Source organism: Homo sapiens, chromosome 12, assembly GCF_000001405.40.
Source record: "Homo sapiens chromosome 12, GRCh38.p14 Primary Assembly".
Classification (NCBI taxonomy): Eukaryota; Metazoa; Chordata; class Mammalia; order Primates; family Hominidae; genus Homo; species Homo sapiens.
Window position 1 is genome coordinate 10,110,931 of NC_000012.12, and position 24,944 is coordinate 10,135,874.

The 24,944-nt window shown below is 38.7% G+C and overlaps 1 protein-coding gene, 1 long non-coding RNA gene and 1 pseudogene across 14 annotated transcripts, besides 1 other annotated feature; 2 read left to right on the top strand and 1 right to left on the bottom strand.

The window, feature by feature from the left end:
- HNRNPABP1 (heterogeneous nuclear ribonucleoprotein A/B pseudogene 1) lies at positions 811-1,741 on the top strand (annotated as a pseudogene).
- On the top strand, positions 4,433-22,684 carry LOC105369655 (uncharacterized). Of its 2 annotated transcripts, XR_007063208.1 has the most exons (4): positions 4,433-4,613; positions 20,151-20,310; positions 20,755-20,862; positions 22,356-22,684. It is a non-coding gene; the product is annotated as an uncharacterized LOC105369655 (long non-coding RNA). The 2 variants fall into 2 exon arrangements; XR_931352.3 differs by lacking the exon at positions 20,755-20,862 and having other exon boundaries at positions 4,465-4,613.
- Positions 5,847-19,374, bottom strand: CLEC7A (C-type lectin domain containing 7A). 12 transcript variants are annotated; one of them, NR_125336.2, is made up of 7 exons: positions 19,050-19,269; positions 16,817-16,915; positions 15,641-15,778; positions 14,367-14,518; positions 14,157-14,243; positions 12,315-12,433; positions 5,847-7,660 (listed from the first exon to the last, which is right to left on the bottom strand). NR_125336.2 is itself a non-coding variant. In XM_047429359.1 (7 exons), exons 2-7 carry the CDS (start codon positions 19,150-19,152, stop codon positions 7,528-7,530), a joined length of 744 nt encoding a protein of 247 aa, XP_047285315.1. In that variant the 5' UTR covers positions 19,153-19,167; positions 19,273-19,374; the 3' UTR covers positions 5,847-7,527. The 12 variants fall into 12 exon arrangements, 11 of the variants coding, with proteins under 11 accessions (XP_047285315.1, NP_922938.1, XP_006719198.1 ...); XM_047429359.1 differs by lacking the exon at positions 14,157-14,243 and adding an exon at positions 19,273-19,374 and having other exon boundaries at positions 19,050-19,167; NM_197947.3 differs by lacking the exon at positions 14,157-14,243.
- Positions 22,808-23,628: an enhancer, noted in NCBI's record as "NANOG-H3K4me1 hESC enhancer chr12:10286337-10287157 (GRCh37/hg19 assembly coordinates)". NCBI's record gives its function as "activates a minimal SCP1, AML or CMV promoter by ChIP-STARR-seq in primed H9 embryonic stem cells {active_cell/tissue: H9 hESC(primed)}" and the evidence as "EXISTENCE:reporter gene assay evidence [ECO:0000049][PMID:30033119]".

Genomic DNA, 24,944 nt, shown 5'->3' on the forward strand with positions numbered 1-24,944 from the left:
AAAATTCATATGGAACCAAAAAAGAGCTTGGATAGCCAACGCAATCCTAAGCACAAAGCACAAATCTGGAGGCATCACATAATTAGACTTCAAATTTTACTATAAGTCTATAGTTACCAAAACAGCGTGGTACTGCTATAAAAGTAGACACATGAACCAATGGAATAGGAAAAGAGAACTCAGAAATGAAGCCGAATGTCCAGGCAAGGTGGCTCACACTTGTAATCCCAACACTTTGGGAGGCCGAAGCAGGCAGATCGCTTGAAACCAGGAGTTCGAGACCAGCAGGGCCAAGATGGCAAAACCCCTTCTCTACTAAAAATACAAAAATTAGCTGGATGTGGTGGTGCACACCTGTAATCCCAGCTACTCAGGAGGCTGAGGCAGGAGAATCGCTTGAACCTGGGAGGCGGAGGCAGCAGTGAGCTGAGATTGTGTCACTGCACTCCAGCCTGGACAACAGAGCGAGATCCCATCTCCAAAAACAAAACAAAACAAAAACAAAAAACACAACAAAAACAAAAACAGAAAACGAAAAGGAGGCAGCGGCACCGCCCCTGCGGGAGCTGGTTTGTGGGTCGGTGGGTTCCCTGAGGCGGCGGCTGAGGAGGAGGAGTTGCAGTTGCAGTTGAAGTCAGCTGGCGGAGGCCAGACCTCAGCAGCGCGAGCTGGAGCACAGCCGAGCCCAAGGCGCTTTCCCCGGTGGGTGGGGACAAGTGGGCGAGTAGCCGCCGCGACTCGGCCTATCATGTCCTTGCAGACGCCTGGCGCCAACGAGAACCCAGGCCGCCCCGAGGGCGAGTCGTCGGAGCGACCGCAGCGCCCTCGAGCGGGAATCAAAATCAAAAATCGCCGAGGACGAACAGATCAACGCCAGCAAGAACGAGGAGGACGCAGCAAAAATGCTCGTTGGTGGCCTGAGCTGGGATACCAGCAAAAAAGATTTAAAAGACTATTTCCCTAAATTTGGAGAGGTCATTGACTGTACAATAAAAATGGATCCCAACATTGGACGGGCAAGAGGGTTTGGGTTTATCCTGTTCAAAGATGCAACCAATGTGGAGAAGGTCCTAGACCAGAAGGAGTACAGGCTGGATGTCCGTGTCATTGACCCTAAAAAGGCCATGGCTATGAAGAAGGACCCGGTGAAGAAAATCTTCGCCGAGGGTCTGAATCCTGAAGCCACTGAGGAAAAGATCAGGGAGTACTTTGGCGAGTTTGGGGAGATCGAGGCCATTGAAATTCCAGTGGATCCAAAGTTGAACAAAAGACAAGGTTTTGTGTTTATCACCTTTAAAAAAGAACCTGTGAAGAAAGTTCTGGAGAAAAAGTTCCATACTATCAGTGGAAGTAAGCGTGAGATCACGGTGGCCTAGCCCAAAGAAGTTTATTGGCAGCAGCGGTATGGTTCTGGGGACCGTGGAAACCACAACCGAGGGAACCGAGGCAGCGGAGGTGGTGGTGGAGGTGGAGGTCAGGGCAGTACAAACTACAGCAAGAGCCAGTGACATGGTGGCCATCAGAATACCTACAAGCCATACTGAAGCAGCAGCAGGAGAGACCAACCGACCGCACACATGTTGTGTTTGGATATGGAGTGAACACAATTATGTACCAAATTTAACCTGACAAACTTTCTATGGCTTGCCCCATGTGCATCTTACTTAAAATTTCCCCCATGGAAATCACTCTCTTGTTTACTATTTCCAGAACTCTAGTTATTTAGGCAGCGTGTGGTGTCTGAGAGGCCAGAGGGGCATTATGGGCTGACTTTTAGTACCAGGTCCCCCAGAACAAAATGGCAGTCTCTGCTTCCTGCTGCCGCACTCTGCAGCCTGGTCCTGTGGACCCTGGTTGTAAAGAGTAAATTGTATCTCAGGAAACCAGTGTCAGCTTTTCATTTTATATTATTTATGTCATACATTTCCTGTAATGGAAGTGTTAATTTTACTGTACTTTTTGGTACCTTTGGGGAATCTAATGTAAGGTATTTTACATGTGTCCTGATTTTGCCACAACCTGGATATTGAAGCTATCCAAGCATTTAAAATAAAAATTTAACCCCCCCCCGCCACAAAAAAGAAATAAAGCCAAATACTTAACATCCAACTGATCTTTGATGAAGCATACAAAAACATAAACCTATTTAATAAATGGTGCTGAAAAGACTGGCAATCCGCATGCAGAAGAATGAAACTGGATCCCAATCTCTTACCTTATACAAAAATCAACTCAAGATGGATCAAAGACTTAAATCTAAGAACTGAAACCATAAAAATCACAGAAGATTACATCAGAAAAACTCTTCTGGACATTAGCCTATGCAAAGAATTTATGACTAATACTCCAAAAGCAAATACAACAAAAATGAAAATAAATAAATGGAACTTCATGAAACTAAAAAGCTTCTGCACAGCAAAAGAAATAATCAGCAGAGTAAATAGACAACCCACAGAATGAGACAAAATATTTGCAAACATATATGCATCCAATAAAGGACTAATATCCAGAATCTACTAGGATCTCAAACAAATCAGCAAGAAAAAAATAATAATCCCATGAAAAAGTGAGCAAGGGACATACATAGACATTTCTCAAAAGAAGATATACAAACAGCCAACAAACATATGAAACAATGCTCAACATTACTAATTATCAGGGAAATGCAAATTAAAACCACACAATGAGATACCACCTTACTCCTACAATAATGGCCATTATTAAAAAGTCAAAAAAACAACAGATGTTGGCATGGATATGGTAAAAAGGAAATGCTTATACACTGTAAATTAGTACAACCTCTATGAAAAACAGTATGAAGATTCCTTAAAGAACTAAAAATAGATCTACCATTCAATCCAGCAATCCTGCTGCTGGGTATCTACCCCAAAATAAGTCATTATATATGAAAAAGACACTTGCACGTGTATGATTATAATAGCAGAATTCACAATTGCAAAGATATGGGACCAACCTAAGTGCCCATTAACCAATGAGTGGATAAAGAAAATGTGGTATATGTACACCATGGAATACCACTCAGCCATAAAAAGTAATGAAATAATGTCTTTTGCAGCACCTTGGTTAGAGCTGGAGACTATTATTCTAAGTAACTCAGGAATGGAAAACCAAAACTGTATGCTCTGACTTACAAGTGGAAGCTAAGCTGTAAGTAGGCAAATCCATACAGAGTGATATAATGACTCAGAAGCAGGAGGTGAAAAGGGAGGGGGAGGGATAAAAAAAACTACATATTGGGTACAATGTACACTACTCAGGTGAGTGACAGGTGCATTACAATCAGAATTCACAACTATATAATTCATCCATGTAACCAAAAACGTCTTGTACCCCAAAATCTATTGAAATAAAAAATACATAAATAAAAATAAAAATATCTTCCTCTTGCACAGTGCCTTGTAAGAAGTAGGAAATCAAAAATTGTTTGTTTGCATTGGGTTGGATATCAGAGAGCCATATAAAAGAGAAGGTAGTCAAAATTGTGAAGATGAAGTTATGTAAAGCCCATAATTGAATAAAACAGAGATACAGTGTTAAAAATTACAACAGCTAGGATCAGAAAAAAAGGCACTTAGAAGGTGCCTGTAATTATGATTCTCATAAAATAGCAATTAGAACTATTTCCCAAGCTTCAGTTATTCAAGTATATTCCTAATAATTTTTGATAAAAAACCTACATTAACATTTATACTACTTTTCCTTAAAAGCTTATTTTTTTTTCAAAAAATATTTTTGACTATCGACTGTATGGCAAGTACTATTCTCAGACTGTTGGATACATCCATGTACAGCAAAGCTGTCTGTCCTTTTAGAGACTATATTCTACGGAGAAAGGCAGACGATATATAAGAAACAGATAGATAAGAAAGAGGAAGACAATATACAAGAAAGAGAATAAGTATCATGCTGGTGCAAAAGTAATTGCGGTTTTTGCCATTACTTTTATCCTATATACTTTCAATGGCAAAAACCGCAATTTTGCACCAACCTAATAAGTAAATAGTAGAGTATATTAGACTATAATAAATGCTATGGTAAATAAACAGAGGTAAGGGAGATGAAGAATGTAGGGAAAAAGGGTTGGTAACTTTAAATAGTTATGTGAGTAAGCATCATTAAGAAGGTCATGTTTGTGCAGAGATGGAAACGAGGTGAGAGGCCAGGCCCTGCAGCTTTGTCGGGTAAGAATCATTCAGGCCGGGCGCGGTGGCTCACGCCTGTAATCCCAGCACTTTGGGAGGCCGAGGCGGGCGGATCATGAGGTCAGGAGATCCAGAACATCCTGGCTAACACAGTGAAACTCCGTCTCTACTAAAAAATACAAAAAAAAATTAGCCAAGCGTGATGGCGGGCGCCTGTAATCCCAGCTACTCGGGAGGCTGAGGTAGGAGAATGGCGGGAACCCGGGAGGCGGAGCTTGCGGTGAGCAGAGATCGCGCCACTGCACTCCAGCCTAGGCCACAGAGCGAGACTCCGTCTCAAAAAAATAAAAGGATCATTCAGGTAAAGCAGATAAGAATCACCAATACCTTGAGGTGGAAGCACGCCTGACATGGTTGAGAAACAACAGAGAAGCCGGCGTCCTGAGTGCGGTGAGTAAAGATGAAGGAAGTAGGAGATTAGCTCAAAGTTAAGAGGGCCAGAATATGTAGCGTCTTATAGATAATTACAAAGGTATTTCTTTTTTATGTTGCTTTGTTTTTACTCTGAGATACATGAGAAGTTGATGAGAATTTTAAGTGGAGAACCGACATGATTTTATTTAAATTTAATGGTCTCACTCTGATTTGTTTGAAAATAGACTGTAGAGGGTGAGGGTGAAGGCTCAGAGACGACTTCAAAAATTATTGCTATAAGCCAAACAAGTGAACATGGTGGCCCCTGAGCATGTCCTCTGGTGTGACCATTACTCATCTCGAATTTAACTTTCAGACTGAGGTTCGGCTAGCAGCTATTTCACCTTTTCTGTCTCTTGGAAAAGTGTGGATGTTTTCTGTCTCTTGGAAAAGTGTGGATGTTTTCTGTCTCTTGGAAAAGGGTGGATGTTTTCTGTTTATTAACGTATATTTCCATATAAGCTGTGATATAAACGTGTCTCAACAGGTCAGGTACTGTATGTCTTGCACAACGTAGAGCAATCTTACTTTACACCGTCACTTTCGTGATACCCACGTCATGGGTTAGGTTGCCTGGCCTGTCTGTTCACTAGATTAGTACAGCTGGATCTTCAGCATCCAGTTATTTACCTTGATTACCATAATTTCTTGGAGTCATCCACTATATCCTGGGGACCCAGGAGGAATGAATCAAAACAAAACCAAAATTAAAATACTAGATATCTCTTCCAAACTCCATCCTATGCTTTAACTACTTAAAACAGTTAACCATACTCCTCATGTTCTCAGCCTGATCTATCTCTTCCCTTTCTTTTTTTATGTTTATTATACATTACATCATTTATTTATTTATGTATGTATTTTTAATTGTACTTTAAGTTCTGGGATACACGTGCAGAACGTGCAGATTTGTTACATAGGTATATATGTGCCATGGTGGTTTGCTGCACCTATCTATCTCTTCCCTTTCTACATGTTTTTAAGTAATGAAAACAAATTTGCATATTAAACAACAATAGTAAACCTCACAAAGATCTTTATCTTCTCTTAGGTTTTTAAAATTTTTAAGATCGCGAATTAATGCTTTAATATCAAAATATCTACTATAAATATCCACTCCACCCATACCAAATTCATCATCATTTTTGGGGAGAGGGCAAATTGTAATAGTGATTGTGACACACAGGCACATAATTTAGAGGCCATGGGTTTTTTGATAAGAGTTTTTTTTTATTGAAATGAAATCCACATAACATAAAATCATCCATTTTAAACTGCATAATTTAGTAAAATTGGTACAATTTCTTTTCACATATTAATCAACATTAGAGGACTGTAAATGCCTCCCTAGTAATACAGAAATATCCATTGGAAATAAAAATAGCACCAGTGGGAAAGTATGAAAAAAATAAGACAAATCAGCACATGAGGAAATATAGTTTCATTCCAATAATACCATTTTACAGTAATTACTGAAAAAAATGGTAAAAATTGTAAAACAGTACATCACAAAACTAATAAAACATATTCCAAAATGTTAATACTTGTTCCAATGAGGTTGGTTACTTTTTTATATTCATCATCAGATTTTATGTATTTTTATGTATTTTTGTATTTAAAAAGCAGAAAACTTTCCTATGAGAGCAGTTTCCCTACAATTACATATTATACAAGATTCTAGGCTGGGTGCAGTGGCTCACGCCTGTAATCCCAGCACTTGGGAGGCCGAGGCAGGCAGATCACTTGAGGTCAGGAGTTCGGGACTACCCTGACCGACATGGAGAAACCCTGTCTCTACTAAAAAAATACAAAATTAGCCGGGTGTGGTGGTGCCTGACTGTAATCCCAGCTACTTGGGAGGCTGAGGCAGGAGAATTGCTTGAACCCAGGGGGCGGAGGTTGCGGTGAGCCGAGATCGTGCCGTTGCACTCCAGCCTGGGCAACAAGAGCGAAACTCTGTCTCAAAAAAAAAAAAAAAAAAAAAGATTCTATTAGAGATATGGCAGATGTACTCTCTGAGCTATTTAATTGATAAAGAAAAAGTAGGAGTTCCTGCTTTTTACTAAGATGATAATCATAATTATGATCATACTGATGAAAATAATAAAATTGCTCTGACTGTGGTGAAGATTTTTTCCCATTTCTTCATTTAGCTATTCAGAAATATATTTCACCCTCAGTTCATAACTGATATACTGCTAGAAGTTGAGGGTCAAATCGTGGCAACACACCGTGCACTTCAATGGCATTGTTGAGCATGAAACAACTCTGATAGAGCCAGAAATTAAGATTCGCTTATGGCTTACCCAAGGTAAATGCCAAGTCAATGGCAGAATGAAAATTCAAGCTTGGGGCCAGGTGTGGTGGCTCACATCTGTAATCCCAGCACTTTGGGAGGCCAAGGCGGGCAGATCACTTAAGCCCAGGAGTTAGAGACCAGCTTGGTCAACATGGCAAAACCCAGTCTCTACAAAAAACACCAAAAATTAGCCTGGCATGGTGGCATGCACCTGTAGTCCCAGCTACTTGAGGGGCTGAGGCGAGAGATAGCTGCAGTGAGTCGAGATTGTGCCACTGCACTCCAGCCTGGGTAACAAAGTGAGACCCTATCTCAAAAAAATAAATAAATAAAAAATAAAAACTCAAGCTTGGCTGCCCTGATTCCATGTCTAGGGATCTACTAACTAGAAAAATAATACTAGCCTACCTGTAGGTCGACAAATACAGAAATCACAGCCTCTCCCTTCAATTTCTTGGTTAAGATTACAGTTGGCCAAGCTCTCTAAACATTTTCTGCATTTATCTTGACCTCAGCTGTTACTCTTTTCTGTTCTGTTTTCTGTCCTCCTTACTACCTCACATATTTCTCTCTCCTTCTCCACCCTTCCTCTTACATTGAAAACTTCTTCTCACAAATACTATATGAGGGCACACTACACAGTTGGTCATAAATGACTGACACGTGAATCCATACACAATTTGGAGATGGGTTTTCTTGGGTAGCTGTGGTTCTGATCTGAAATCTGTTAAAATAGAATACAGTGAGGTAATTAGAACAAATGTTAAGGAATACTGTCTACATGGCGCACAAATAAATTAGTAAGGATATTGGTGAAAAGAGTTCTGAAGTGTTTCTATTATTGGAAAAGGAGGCTTAAATCTAAATTGTTGTGAATCTCAAGTGGTTAAATGAATAGTCTCCATTATTAAGGCAGAAAAACGACTTAATTTTTTTTCAAGAACTGCTACTAGCTGCATAAACTAAAAAAAAAGTTCCTGACAAAGAAGAAAAATCATTTAATATTCTATAAAAAGTTCTTTATATATCTTTCAGCCTATTACTTAAATGTTTCTTTATCAAATCAAGTAACAGTTTAATTAAATTATTACTGGATATACTTAATGAGTAGACCAAGCAGAAGCATTAATGCTAAAACAGATCTAGAACTAAAAAGAGAATCAGAGATGCCCAGGCCATTTAAAGGCAGGGCAAACAACTCTGTATATTTTAATGTATCCTGGAAGCAGAATTATATTACAATACAATGCTTGACAGTTATGGAAATCAACACTGCTAAATGCAGGCATGGTCCTGTTCAGTTTGGTCTTCAATCTCCTTAAGTAGCAGTGTTAATGAGTCAAGCTCAAAGAGCATCACTGACCGTCAGTGCAAAAGCTATGACTTGGCACTCTTTGTCCTGGTTATGTATCTCTCCCTCTTGACCCTGAGGTTGGAAGATTGAGAAAACTTTGCTTTAGCGATGACTAAGGCTAAGATTAACTACTTAGATTCAGACCTCAGGGAGAACTCTGACCAGCATTATTCCTTAAAAATTTTCCTTGACCTATAAGTGTTTTGGGGGCATAGACACAGCTAGATTAAATAAATGCCACCCGGAAAACAAAAAAGTAGTAACATATCAAAATGTTAACTTGGGCCCACTTGTGATTATAGAAAGAGTCCTCTAGTCATACATTTAAAATAGCAAGAGAAAACTCAAGACAAACAAGTACTATAAGAAAGTAGAAAATACATTTGGCTGATAATAAATTCACTGTACTTAGCCTAGTAGAAGTAAAACAGTTAAGTGATTATGCTCAGCAGTTTGTACTGTTCACACTATTGGGTGAACAGACCTGGTGGTGAGAACAGAGGCAAATGAAAAAACACTTCAAATTAATTCTACAAAGATTTTAAGATAAAATGTTAACAACACTATAAAAAGCAATCTGACATAAGAGAAAACTAATCAACACAAAAGAAAAATAGTAAAAAAAAAAACAAACAGAAACAGATACATATAGAAAATTGGAATTATCAGACACAAGCTAAAACAACTATGGTTAGTGTATTCTGAAAGTTAGAAGACAATACTAAGAATGTTGGAAGAAAAAGTAGAAGTATACGTGTTGAAATAATAGATTTGAGAAAGAACTAAACTAAAATTATAAAACTGAAAATGTCACCAAACAAAATAAAAGACTTAATAGAGGCTTTTAATGGTAGATTAGCCACAGATGAGAAAAAATAGATGACCGGAAGATATGTGAAAGGTTATTACATAGATTGGAGCAAAAAGCTAAAAAAGAATGAAAACACAGGAAAAAGCAAAAGAAACATATAGGATGGTGTCAATGGGTCTGTAATGAATGTAACTGGGATTCCAGGAGAAGGGAAAAAAGATGGGGAAAAGCAAAATATGAAGCAAGTATGGCTGAGAATTTTTCAGTGCTGAGTAAACACATTAGTTTTAAAACATATATTACCTTCAAACAGATGACCTCTCAAAAACAACAGTAAAAAATAGAAAACAGTGGAATAATATATTTGAGTGGCTGAGAGGAAAAACAACAAACCTCTAATTCTATACTTACTGGAAATATCAGTCTTAAGAAAAAATACCTGTAATGTACAGTTGGAAAGGAAGAAAGAAATAAACAACTAAAATCATAAATATGTGGGCAAATTGAAATGAATACTAACTGCATAAATCTGTGCGCCACCTTGTCTGTCTAATTTTTATATCTTTTTTTTTTTTTTGTAGAGATGGGGTTTCACCATTTTGGCCAGGCTGGTATCGAACTCCAGAGATCAAGTGATCCGCCTGCCTCGGCCTCCCAAAGTGCTGGGATTATAGGCGTGAGTCCCCGCGCCCGGCCCAAGGGCTAGTTTTTTCTTTTTTCTTTTTCTTTTTTTTTTTTTTTAATACTGAGTCTGGCTCAGTCACCCAGGCTGGAGTGCAGTGGTGCGATCTCGGCTCACTGCAACCTCCGTCTCCCGGGTTGAAGCAATTCTGGTGCCTCAACCTCTGAGTAGCTGGGATTACAGGCGTCCACCACCACACCCAGCTGGTGACGCATAGCTGTAGTCCCAGCTACTCAGGAGGCTGAGGTGGGAGAATCGCTTGAACCCAGGAGGCAGAGGTTGCAGTAGGCCAAGATTGCCCCACTGCACTCCAGCCTGGGCGATAAAATAAAAATAAATAAATAAAAATAAATACATTAATATAATAGCATATAAATTGAGGAGAGAGTCAACAGAGTAAAGGAATGCTCTATGATTTTTATATTGGTCAGGAAGAACATAAAAATGTCAGTTAATGTTAGTCTTTGATGAGTGAAGTATACATGTGTAATTCCTAGAACAACTACTAAAAGATTAGTAAAAGAGATGTAAAAGACATGAAAGAGCACATTCCAAATGAACAGAAAAAAAAAACAGAATAAGAAAAAGTGTTAAATCGTCCAAAAAGGAGGAAAGAAAGGGGAAAAAAAGTAACAATTCTAAATCTTTATGTGCCTGATAACACGGCTTCAACACATCGAATAAAATGTTTACAGAACTGTAAGTAGAATCGCAGCGGAAGATTTCAACACAATTCTTTTCATATGGAAAGAGGAAGAAGCACGTAAAAATCACAGAACTACAAGCACGTGGAGCATGTTCTCTGATCACAGTGGAACTAAGCCTGAAACCTAAAACAAAGAGATAACCAGAAACACATATGTTTGTAAATTAAGAAATGCATTTCTAAATAACTCCTGGGTCAAAGAGCAGCTCACAGTGGAAATCAGAAAGTATTTTGAACTGAAAGACAATGAAAATACATTAAAATTATAGCCTTAAGTCTACATACTTGAGATAAAGGAAGGCTTAAATTCATGAGGCAAGCACCCAATACGAGAAGTTTGAGATGGAATAGCAAATTTAAAACAAATAAATTAGGTCAGGAGATCGAGACCATCCTGGCTAACACGGTGAAACCCCGTCTCTACTAAATATACAAAAAATTAGCCGGGCATGGTGGTGAGCGCCTGTAGTCCCAGCTACTCAGGAGGCTGAGGCAGGAGAATGGCGTGAACCCGGGAGGCGGAGCTGGCAGTGAGCCGAGATCGCCATTGCACTCCAGCCTGGGTGACAGAGTGAGACTCTGTCTCAAAAAATAAAACAAAATAAAATAAAAATAAATTAGATGGAAGGAAGTAATACAGATTAGAATAAAAGTTAATGAAAGAAATAATAAAAAGACAGAGTCAACAAAGTCAAAAGTTACTTTCTTTGAAAAACCAAATTGAACGGTACTCCTACTGAGACAGATGAAAAAACACACACAGGTGTGCACACACACACTAATAATAAGAACTTAAAAGAGACATATTTCATATTCTGCAGATATTAAAAAGCAAATGAATGACAACAGCAGTGACAGAAACCACATAATAAGGAATAATGTATCATCAGGCAAATGTGAAATACGTTTAAAATATCTTTCTAAAATGCAAAATGTGAAAATGTGGTTGCTTTTTAACTTAATAATAAGTCTCACACATTAACTATGTACAAGACACTGTGCTAAATTATTTTACTTTTATACCCATCTCACAATTCTAAGAGGAAAGCACTCTTTCTTTTTTTCTTTTTTTTTTTTTTTTTTTTTGAGTTGGAGTCTCACTGGAGTCTCACTCTGTCATCCAGGCTGGAGTGCAATGGTGCAATCTCAGCTCACTGCAACCTCTGTCTCCCAGGTCCAAGCAATTCTCCTGCCTCAGCCTCCTGAGTAGCTGGGATTTCAGGCAATGCCACCACACCCGGCTAAATTTTTAGTGGAGGTGGGGTTTCACCATGTTGGTCAGGCTGGTCTCAAACTCCTGACCTCAAGTGATCCGCCCACCTGGGCCTCCCAAAGTGCTGGGATTACGGGTGTGAGCCACCACACCTGGCCAAGAGCACCTTTCTATTCTTGTTTATGGAAAATGGGACTCAGAGAGGAAAAGTGACTTATCCCCAGTGTCACACAATCAGTGAGTGGGGTAATCATTAACCCAAACTGAGGCCTGGCTTCAAAACCCATGCTCTTAACCGGGGAGTTACACTGACTGACAGTGACTGCTCCTTGCCTGGACAACTTCAAACATGTCGATGCCTCCCTAGTAAGAAAACCAGAAGAATATCTGTGTTGATGCTACTAGATGGCCTCACTCTTTTTCACTCTAAGGTCCTCCTCATCTTTCTCCTCTTGTCCTAGTTCACTCTTTCTCTTCTTCTATATCTTTCTCCCTCTCTTTCTCATATATGGTGAGCAAATCAGGTTCTTAGCTGCTCGACAGAGGTTTTCATAGATGAGATGGAAACCTCTCTGAGAAAAAGGATGAAGCATTGTCTCTCCAAACACTTACAAGTTAGAAGAGAATGTTGATCCATCCTCCCAGAGCCATGGTACCTCAGTCTGGGGCCGAGAAAGGCCTATCCAAAATGAATTATCAGGTTGGGAAGACACTTGTTTTACTATAAATCCCTGTAATGAAACATATACAAATATATAATAAAGAGAGAGAGAGAGAGAGAAAGAAACTATTATCATGGACGCTGAGAAAAAGACAACTGATTGAATCACTTTGGTAAAGAATGCAAGGCCGGGCGCGGTGGCTCACGCCTGTAATCCCAGCACTTTGGGAGGCCGAGGCGGGTAGATCATGAGGTCAGGAGATCGAGACCATCCTGGCTAACAAGGTGAAACCCCGTCTCTACTAAAAATACAAAAAATTAGCCGGGCGCGGTGGCGGGCGCCTGTGGTCCCAGCTACTCGGGAGGCTGAGGCAGGAGAATGGCATGAACCCGGGAAGCGGAGCTTGCAGTGAGCCGAGATTGCGCCACTGCAGTCCGCAGTCCGGCCTGGGCGACAGAGCGAGACTCCGTCTCAAAAAAAAAAAAAAGAATGCATGCCTAACCTGACATCAACCTAGAGAGAAGTGCCAATTTTTGAATGTCATTGAATGTCTCAAAAGGCCTATCTTATTTATTTAAAGTAATTATCATTTAATTTTCCAAAAGAATAGATTTGTAATGTGAGGACTGTACTGCCTCCATTCAACCTATCTGACAAAATCCCAGATGACAGTCCCCCTAGGCAGTTTTCATGGATGATTAGCCATTGTCTTCTCCTCCAATTGAAGAAATAAATTGACGCTACTTTCGTTAAGAAGTACTTCTCAGAGTTAGGTAACAACTTAAAAATAATTTAGTCCAACTGTATATTTTATGAATATGTAATCTGAGGTTCAGTGAAGATATCTGAATTGTTTACAAATCTATAACAATTTATTTTCAATTATAGGCTGGCCTAAAAGTCAGATAGACTTGTAATCCAGTACTCTTTCTTTGCCATATATCTAGTTCCATTAACTTTAATATAAATTATTACTACTGGGTAAGACATTACAGAAACAAAAACAAAATAAGAATAGTGAAAGTAGGTGTAGAAGTTATAGACTGGTTTAGATTTATAACATAGAATTTTTCCTATTAACCCCTTATCTTACCTCATTGAAGCTCTACCCTTCATTCATGATGTGTTATAAGTGCCACTTTTTCTGAAAACTTCTTAGGAACACGGGGATCTCTTTAAACTCCTATAGAATTTATTGCTAATGCCAGATATTTAACTTTTAATAGCTGCTGAGTTGCTTTTTTTTTACTTAAAAGATTATATGTGTCCTGTGATAGCAGGGTTATGTTTTAACCCTCTTTGCCTTTCCCAGTATCTTGCAAAGAGTAAATAATTTCTAAACATATATTATCATTGTTGCCATTTTTCTTGATAATTATGATGACAAGGAGAAGAATTTTCTACTTTACTTCCACCATATTTAAAAATTGAAATACAAACTCACAAAAATGGGTAGTGTCCTGATTATTGTAGTCATGCATACATGGAGTATGTTTGAAAGGATTTGTTTTAAGGCGAAACACAGTTTTTTAAATTAGTTAAAAATAAAAGCATATACTATGCACTTTATGTGCTTAAGGCATGCTATGATTATAATTATAGAGATATTAAAAATGAATTTTGGCCAAGTATGGTGGCTTACACCTGTAATCCCAACACTGGGAGATCGAGGTAGGCAGATCGCTTGTGCCCAGGATTTTGAGACCAGCCCAGATGATATGGAGAAACCTCGTCTCTATGAAAAATACAAAAAAACATTAGACGAGTGTGGTGGTGCACCCTGTAGTCCTACCTACTCAGGAAGCTGAGGTGGGAGGATCACTTGAGCCTGGGATGTCGCGGCTTCACTGCACTCTAGCTTGGGCAACAGAGTGAGACTCTGCCTCAAAAAAAAAAAAAAAAAAAGACTTCATTTTAGGAAAAATTGTCATTACCTGGAATCTCCCTCTATCTTCCTTCAGGATACACACCACAGATAATCATAACAGAAGTCTACACTTACCAATTCATTTGAGCTGTCTATCTTTAGGAGATTAGAGCCCAGTTGCCAGCATTGTCTTTTACTTCCATCCCAGGAATTTAGTGACATGCTGAATAGATAACAGCTCTTCTCATATATAATCCAATTAGGAGGACAAGGGCTGGAAAGAACCCCTGGAAATAAAAGATTAGTACCATGAGGTTCATAGCATACCAATTCACTCTTTTAGTGTGAACACCATTCATCTTAAGGACACTTATGAAATAACCAATTAGTTGCCATTTTTATATTTCATTGTCAATTCGAACTACAGGGATATGATTTTACAGATGAGAATACATTAAAATCTTCCTATTCATTTAAAATTTAAAAACAAACTAGCTATAAATAGTATTTTAGGCAGCCAACCATCCTTTTTTTCTTCACTTGTCTTCTATTCCTTCTAATTCAGCTCAAAACTACCTTTCTCCTTAATAACTCCTTAAAATAAGTCCACTCACAATCAGTCATTGAGGTACACAGCAATTTCATATTGCTACTTATTTTATGATGTAAGATCTACTTCATAATGTGACTTTCCAAGTGAGAAAAGTATAGGCCAATTATTCATATTATACACTATCTCTGTTATATATTATTAGCTACTTAATAAAAATAGTGAGAAGGTATGGGTCCAGAGATGAAAAATTGAACTGAAAACATTAAGTCATAGTCAATTATGATGCAATTAGAAGTAAAAGTCAAGTGTGTATAGAATTGTAATTAAGTAAATGAAATTGTATGATTAAACAAATTTGATGAGTTTTCAGGGACATGTGTATTAGGTCTACCTCTTTTGTATATTTTTAATATAGCTTCCTTATTCTTGGCAACATTTTCCCTTCTTTCCTTTCTCCCTGTCATTCTTCCTTTCTAATGTCATATTTCCTATTCTAACTGTATCGCATTTAAAATGTCAATTCTGTAAGGGGAGAGAACACTTTTCTTTTATTTGTATCAAATTATATGATCTCCTGTAGATCTAAGCACATAGCCAGTGATAAATCAGTTACTGATTTTAAAAATTAATAAAGTCCAATTTAGAACTGTCCAGCCAACTGCATAGGGTACTTATAATTTCACCTTATTGTATATATGACAGGGATACATTACACTAAGGTAATACTAATATGTGTATTTGCCTTAAATTTACAATCATTGAATCTAAGTGTTTTTCTTTACACCCCTGCCCCAGGCTTCAGCACCAAGAATTAACCCTCTTGAGTCAAGATTCCGTCCTTTAACTATGCCCTTGCCTGTGGTTTTGACAGCTTTGGTAGGAGTCACACTGTCTTCTAAAGATGATTGTGTGGGTTGACTGTGGTTCTCTTTATTTCTTGATAGAAAGTAGCCATTCTCCAATGTGTTGCTTCCTGAATTGGATCTCCAAATAGCTTCACATACCAACAATAATAATAGTGACAGAAAAAATGTCATTCTGCTGTGTTTGAAAATTAAAATCCCAAAACCCAAATGTTATTGGAATAAAAGAATACATTATTGATTAATGATAAATAGATGATATATTGCTGTGGAGAGATAAAGACGATTGATAGAATAGATGAAAAGAAATACATAACTTTTATAAAGGAGGTATAGTAAAAAAAAAAAAAGAAAAGAAAAAAGAAGGTGGAGAAGAAGAAATAGAATGAGGGAGGCAGCAAGAGGCAAATGTCATAGAGTCAATTGGACCCATGACAGATTTGAAATAGCAACATCTTTCACCTTTCTTCTGTTATTTAAAAATGAGAGATCCTTGAGAAACTGCCCAGTACCTATAACATAGAACGCACTCAATAAACATTTGACTAATTAAGGAATGTCATGAAGACTCTCTGAAGGTGACTGACAACAGATTGCATGTGATATAAAATGTAAAAAAAATATTAATCCATTACAAAATATCGACTTAAGACCAAGTGCCTCAGGAAATTTCTGGTGTATTCAAAGGTGTTTATATTAAAGATCGGAAATAATTTCCTTAAATAATGTGAATCATAAAAATAGCTTAATGTCCATTTAGTGAATTTATTTCATTAGGAAGACAGCACCATATTGTACTTTCTTCTTCAGCTCCGCTTGTTTTCTTCATTAATTTATCCTTTGAATTCCACAGCTTTGAAACCAGCTATGTAAGGGAGGTAGGAGAGCAATGTAGTTAAGAGTATGAGTTTTTTAGACAGATCACCCAAATTTCTAATCATGGTCCCACCACTAACTAGCTTATAACCCTGGAAAGGTAAAATAACCTCTCAGTCTCTCACACCCTTTATAAGTGAAATGGGCATTAACAGCACCAACCCAATACAGATAAAACCAGATTATATACAAATTAAAGTAGATTATGCATGTCAAGCCCTTAAAAGAGTGCCTGGCACATAATAATTGCTTACTAAATTGTCTGTTGTTAATCTCCTCCACCAAATACTCACCCATGGTACCCAGGACCACAGCTATCACCAGTATTACCAAGCATAGGATTCCCAAAATTACAGCAATGAGGCGCCAAGGAGGAGATGCAGCACACGATCCTGAGGAGCCAGAGGGGGCAGAAATGGAATAAAGAAAGAGAATGACGGATGGTGGGGCAGTTTAATTCTACAGTTCATCAAAAATCTGGCCTTGCACGGTGGCTCACACCTGTAATCCCAGAAGGGAGACTGAGGTAGGAGGATTGCTTGAGGCCAGAAGCTCAAGACCAGCCTGGGCAACACAGGGAGACCCTGTCCCTACCAAAAAAAAAAAAGAAAAACAAAGAAAGAAAAAAAATTTAATTAGCTGGGCATTGTGGTGAGCTCCCGTAGTCCCAGCTACTCTGGAGGCTGTGGCAGGAGGATCACTTGAGCCTAGGAATTCCAGAGCAGCATAGGCAAAAAAGTGATACCCTGTTAAAACACACACACACACACACACACACACACACACACACACACCACCAACAACAACAACAAAAAATACTGGCAAATTTTTAAGTGAATTATTAATCACTGCCTAGGTTACCTGGTCACCTAGGATTTGCTGTGCTTCTCCACCAGTAAGGATACCTTCTTCTTCAATTGCTGGAATTGTAATTTCGGCACATTGGCTTGATAACTGTATGCTCCTAATTTCAGTTCCACATTGACATCTACAGGTCTTGACATTAGTAGGATCCCTGAAATCCCACTGATTCTTAGAGGAAATAGCTTAATGTTGGGGAGATAGCACTGATTACTAAGGGTAATTTTCCCTTTTCATATGTTTGTTGCATGACCCTGGGCAAATTACTCCCTTTGTTGTTTTTTATTCCTCTTTGTGAAACTGGGGTAATAATATCTCAAAGGATTATTGCGGGAATTAAACGAGCTAACACATATAAAAGCACCTTGTTTAGAGACTGCTAGCACATGATAGGTGTGTTGTTGCAGGATACCGTTTGCCTACACATATGCATAAACATGCGCATGTCTCCCTACCTCTTGCCTCATCCACTTTTTCCACGCTTCCTCAATAGGTTGCCCAAGAAAAGAATTACATCAGTGCTGAGAGGAAAATATTTGTGCAGTGTGAATAACCAGAAAGCAGAAGAAAGCAAACTCTGGTGTCAAAACCGACAAATGATCTCTCTCTCTCAAAGATAATAGGGAACTAATTTTGTATGAACATTGCCATAACCAGAATGTATTTCTGCTTTCCACTGTGACTAAGCTGTCAGGACATTTCATAGAATTGTCACATAGGAGAATCGTAGAGTAGGCTAAATCACCCATTCTATGAATACAGAGATCCTCCAATGCCCTTCTTTCTATTTCATTTCATTTACACTTTGTTTAAGACTCATGTCCTGCTGGTGGGATGTTTTTATCTACCATATGTTCATATATTTTCCATCACTGGTATACCAATAATTGTTTTTTGTTTAAAAACAATTTAAATTAATCTCTTACCACAAAAAAAAAATGTTGTTCATATATATACTTCTTTAAGTTTCCTGGCCTCCATTCGATAATCTAGCCTTTCTATCAAACAAGCAACAAGTCACTCATACAGAAATCCTTTATCTTTGTGTATTATCCCACTTATTACCAATTCCTCACTGATGAAATGTCTATATCTATAGAAAAGAGAAATTCTATTTTCTGCCATCAGACATAATTAATTTAAACACTAATAATTGGTCACTGAATAATTTTCATGAAAAAAGGTTTAGGGTGCATTCAATTTATCTTCAGTGACATCTGAAGCCTTTAAAAGTATATCCATAAAAATATACACATCACGAGGCTCTCAAATTTTCTCCCCTTATATCTTTTTGTTTTGTTTTTATTTTTATTTTTTTTCAGAGATGGAGTCTTGCTCTGCCACCCAGGCTGGAGTGCATTGGCATGATCTTGGCTCACTGCAACCTCCACCTCCCAGGTTCAAGTGATTCTCCTGCCTCAGCCTCCCAAGTACCTGGAACTACAGGCGTGCACCACCATGCCCGGCTAATTTTTGTATTTTTAGTAGAGACAGAGTTTCACCACGTTAGCCAAGCTGGCCTCGAACTCCTGACCTCAGTCAATCCACCCGCCTCGGCCTCCCAAAGTGCTGGGATTACAGGTGTGAGCCACCATGCCTAGCCTCCCCTTATATCTTTTCAAACGGGAGAGCTAAAGGCACACATTAGAAAAAACATATATATACCTTTCTCTGAAACAACAGCTATCCTGGTATTGCTTTGAGAGTCGAAGTGTAATTGAGTATATCCATCTTCATCCAAATTTTCTAAATCAGGATGATATTCCATTGTTCTTGAGAGCCCCTGAATAGATATAGCATTTGGGAGCTCTTTTCTTTCTGCTCCTGAGATGACTGTCTGTGGACAAAAGAGAATCTCTGAGTCAAATCATGTGGGCTAGGTACTTACCGGAGTTTAACAAATTAAGCTTAAGTAGTTCAACCAGATATTCAAGAGCAGGAAATGAAACTATGCTGTGGTAATTTTCCATTTGTACCTTTAGATCCTGTTTCTGAGACTGCTGACTCAGGAAAACTAAAAGGCAGCATAGCAGATGAGTCTTTGTTTCAGACCAAATGTAAGAAAAATGCATACATTAATGTCTTATGCTGCCTTCATTACTCTCACAACTAAGTCTGACATTAATTAATTTAACCGATGCAAACTATTTCAGTTTTGGTGCTCCAAGTTTACCATAACTTTGTTCATGTATTTATTCATGTATTTTTTAAATTACATAAACAGGTACTGGATGCCCACCTTTTCAATTGGTAGGAGCTTACAATACAAGGAAAAATGATACCTATGAAGAAACTCATTGCTTAATAAAGGAAATATATAGATAGGTAAATGAGGGATGGCATGAGGAGATGCATTGTTGTAACAACAGACAGAGAAAACAAATCTCTTTGGGAATTATCAGATATTAACACAAAATAACATTTATTGAACAATTACTATGAGCTAAGTACCACATGTTGTACATATTTTCTTGTTCAATCTCACTTTTCCAAGTCTATATAGTAGGCATTATTATTTCTATTTTCAAATGAAAAAATGAGACAGAAAATTTAGCCTCTTTCTCAGGTTTAAGAAGCTAATTTTAAAAATTTAGAGCAAGGAATCAAATCAAAGCTGACTCTTGCTGCAAAACTCGTGGTCTTTTCTGTTACGCTACACTGCCTCTTTCATCATTCCATACACTTATATTGCAAGGAACAGCTTATGGAAGGTGTTGGGACTGAAATATTATGTTAGATGTTTGATTTTTTTTCCCTCTCTTCCAGTTTCCATAGTAATGATCAAATCAAAGAAATATAGAAAACACCTAACATTGCTGGAAACTGAAGAGGTGTTCAACTCATTTATCCGACCTTGAAGCCAGTAGAGTGCAGGAGACATCTGAGTGTTGTCAAGGATCAACAAATCTGGATACTAGTTAATGTGGTGAGGACAGGTTTTATTCAGTAATACTATTGCAACAGGAACCAGTGCAGCATTAACTGAACTCAACTTCCCCAAAAGTAAAGCTGATGACATTTTAAAGTGGAGTTTGCTAAGGAAAAGATACTGAGTGGTGTTAAGGAAAGTTAATGTGACTAGACTCTCTGGATTTGTTAATTGGCCCTTATCCAGAGGACAGAGAAACTTTGCCTATCTATATGACAGAAGGACATGGTGATAGTTGAAGTGAAGCACCCAGCTAAGTTGGTCCTTATGCTGCATCTGAAAGAAAGAGCAAGATTTATCTCCCTGAATGTTTGCATTTCAAAGAAACAGCTCCCAAGTCCTTGAAGAAACAGTTCTGTGTGGTAGATTTGCTTCTCAAAGGGCAGAGAAAGAATTTAACTGTAAGATTTATTTTTCTTTTCTTTCTTTTTTTTTTTTTAGACGAAATTTCGCTCTTGTTGCCCAGGCTGGTGTGCAAATGGCACGATCTCGGCTCACCACAACCTCCGCCTCCCGGGTTCAAGCGATTCTCCTGCCTCAGCCTCCTGAGTAAGCTGGGATTACAGGCATGTGCCACCACGCCAGGCTAATTTTGTATTTTTAGTAGAGACAGCATTTCTCCATGTTGGTCAGGCTGGTCTTGAACCCCTGACCTCTGGTGATCCGCCTGCCTCGGCCTCCCAAAGTGCTGGGATTACAGGCGTGAGCCACTGCACCTGGCCTAACTGTAAGATTTCTAAAGTAACTGCTCTAAAAGGAATTCAGGAGCCTATCTGTTACCAAGTTTTTTGTTGTTGTTGTTGTTTTGAGACAGAGTCTCGCTCTGTTGCCCACGCTGGAGTGCAGTGGCGCGATTTCGGCTCACTGCAAGCTCTGCCTCCTGGGTTCACGCCATTCTCCTGCCTCAGCCTCCCAAGTAGCTGGGACTACAGGCGCCCGCCACCATGCCTGGCTAATTTTTTGTATTTTTAGTAGAGACAGGGTTTCATCGTGTTAACCAGAATGGTCTCGATCTCCTGACCTCGTGATCCGCCCGCCTCGGCCTCCCAAGGTGCTGGGATTACACGCATGAGCCACCACACCTGGCCTGTTAACAAGTTTTAACTGGAACAAAAAGTAAATTCTCCTAGCAGCATTGGGCTTCCTCAGGCTGGCCTTTTAAGTAGTGCTGAATCATCCTATGGACCTTGCCTTAGGCTACTAGAAGGCGTGCTAGAGTTTGCCAAGTCTCTAGTGCAGAGATTTGGGAGGAGTTGTTATATGATGAGGGCTCTGCAGTTCTGACAGTCTAACACCTATCAAAATGGAAGAGAGCTCAAGAGAGTACATAAATGAGCTTCCCGCCTTACTTAAGCTGCCACAAAAGTTTTACTAAGTTTTTGTAGACATGTTGCAAAGTGGTAATGTGGATCTTAATCTCAACATTCATCAGTGTTTCAGTCCTATAATGCAGTGCTTGGAAAGCAGCGTATGAGGTTCAGGACATGCAACCCCAAAATATGGATTCTTGGCATTTGAGAAAACAGCAGAATCAGGAAATTCACTCTCACACCTTTCCCCGTCTTTCTGCCCTGAAGCAGATCATAAGACCCTTATTTTAGAAGTATTGTTTCCTAGAGGAAAGAAACTTCCTTATCTTTGAAGATACAGAGATGCCAAGAAGAATCTGAACAAATTAGTCTTGCTAAGCTCCCTCCAGTTTATTAGCATTAGATCATACCCTCCTTGTCCAACGTAGGGGAGAAAAAGTAGTATCTTTTCCTTGCCCATCACCAGGTTCGTGACTGAGACCCCTATAACAAAAGACAGATTAACAAAACAAAAGCATGTAAATGTTATACGACAAGAGAGCCTTCTGAAATGAAGACGCAGGGAAAACTGAGTATTTCTACGGACAGTTATGCAGAAGTATGACTGGAGAACAAAAGGGTATAATCTAATGGTAATAAGCTGAGTAGAACTTAACAAGGCCTGTTTGTTCAGGTAACTTCTATTAAATAAATTTGGATGCTATTCTCTTGTTGATCTATGTTTTATTGTAGATGCCGTGAACCTAGCAATGAGTGAGGAAAAGGAATCTTTCACCCCTACAAAGGGATACCATGGAATTTCTCAAACAGTGAATACATTGGCTCCAGGAAAAAGGGTCGACCTCTTAAATAGAAATAGAGAACTAGAGAACAATAATGAGGGGAGTACCTTGCAGTCAGTAATAAGAAGCTGTCTTTACTATCAAATCAGACCTCCAGTGGGAGAGTTTTTCCCTATAGTGACTTTGACTGTCACCCTGTGTTTAATCACAATCCTATGAAAACAGTTAACTCTCTAAGTGGTCAAAGAAATTTTTCAATAAACATAAACTTTAGTCTAATTCTCATTATTCTCCTTTTTTGTCTCTTTGTCTAAAATAAAGCAATTAAACATTAATTATGCAAATCATTGACAAACTAGAAAAACAATACCCTTCGTATTTCAAGACAGTGGGAGAGATAGGCTGGGTATTCAGAGAAAAATACCCCTCATTAAATGTTAATGCAAGAAACAGGTGGAAGGCCGAGCATGGTGGCTCAGGCCTGTAATTCCTACACTTTGGGAGGCTGAGGCAGGTGGATCACCTGAGGTCAGCAGTTTGAGATCAGTCTGGCAAACATGATGGAACCCCATCTCTACTAAAAATATAAAAAATTAGCTGGGTGGGGTGGCAGGTGCCTTTAATCCCAGCTATTTAGGAGGCTGAGACAGGAGAATCACTTGAACCCAGGAGGTGGAAGTTGTAGTGAGCCAAGATCGTGCCACTGCACCCCAACCTGGGCAACAACAGTGAAACTCCATCTAAAAAAAAAAAAAAAAAAAAAGGAAAGAAACAGGTGGAAACAAACCAACCTAACAAAAGAAAAGACAAAAAACAAACCAGTTATCTAACTTACATTTTCAGTGAAGTTTGTTGAAAACTTTCATCTATAAAACAAGTGGGTCATCCAAGAAAAATGAGCAATCTGGCCGGGTGCAATGGCTCATGCCTGTAATCCCAGCACTTTGGGAGGCAGAGACAGGCAGATCACCTGAGGTCAGGAGTTCGAGACCAGCCTGACAAACATGGAGAAACCTCGTCTCTACTAAAAATACAAAATTAGCCAGGCGTGGAGGCGCATGCCTGTAATCTCAGCCACTTGGGAGGCTGAGGCAGGAGAATTGCTTGAACCCAGGAGGCAGAGGCTTCAGTGAGCCAAGAGTAAGCCAAGATCGTGCCACTGCACTCCAGCCTGGGCAACAAGAGCAAAAACTCTGTCAAAAAAAAAAAAAAAGAAAAGAAAGAAAGAGAAAAAAGAAAAATGAGCAATCTGAGAAGAGTTCTTAGAAGTGGAAAACACATTTTATAAACTAAAATTGTAATTAATGAAACCCAGAGGTAGATTGAATATTACATCAATAAAATAGCTGAAAGAACCGAATTCATAATAGCTGAGTCTCAGGAATGGAAAACAAAACATTGTATGTTCTCACTTATAAGTGAGAGCTAAGCTATGAAAATACAAAGACATAGGAATGATACAATGGATTTTGGGGACTTGGAGGGAAGGGCGGGAGGTGGGTGAGAGATAAAAGATTACACATTGGGTACAGTGTACACTGCTCAGGTGATGGGTGCAACAAAAATATAAGAAATCACCACTAAAAAACTTATCCATGTAACCAAACACCACCTGCTCCCCAAAACCTGTTAAAATAAAAAATAAAAGAATAGCTGAGTCAGTCTGCTCACTCACTGCTATATACATTAAGTAGTAGTGTTTACTCTCAGAATTAAACCTCAAAAAATAGCATTCTTTTCAAACAAATATCTATTTTGTATATGTCTAATGTGACTTTCTGGAAAATTCATACAAATAAATGAAGAGAAATAAGTAAACATGTGAATATATAGAAATAAATGGATACATGAATTAAATAGAAAAGATTATGGCTGGGCACGGTGGCTCATGCCTGTAATCTCAGAACTTTGGGAGGTCAAGGCAGGTGGTTGGCTTGAGTCCAGGAGTTCGAGACTAGCCTGGCAACATGGCAAAACTCCATCTCTACAAAAAAAAAAATACAAAAAATTAGCCAGCTATGGTGGTACATGCCTGTGGTTCAAAGTACTTGGGAGGCTGAGGTGAGAGGGTTTCTTTGAGCCCCGGAGGCAGAGGTTGCAGTGAGCCAAGCTGGCGCCACTGCACTCCAGCCTGGGTAACAGAGCAAGACTCTGTCTCAAAAAAATAATAAAAATAACAAAGAAAACAAGATTATTAAAACCAAACTAAGCATTAAACTTAAGAACCACTGCAGAAAAACATGTTCAGTCCTCAGAAGATAGCAACATTTCAAAGTACCTTCCCAATTAAAAAAAAATCAAATTTCTCTTCCAATTTGAATGCTAAATTGGGCCTCTTTCCTCTCTTCCTCTTCTCTGACTCTCTGCCTCCTTCCTTTCCTTGTTTTCTCTATTCATCCATTAACAATTAAATATCTACTGAATATTTACTATATTCACAAACCTGAGGCTCAATCCCAATCCTAATTGATTTCTCATTATATTTGAGGAAGAAAGACATGTAAAAAAAATTACTTCGGTATCCCTTGGATTGACTGAA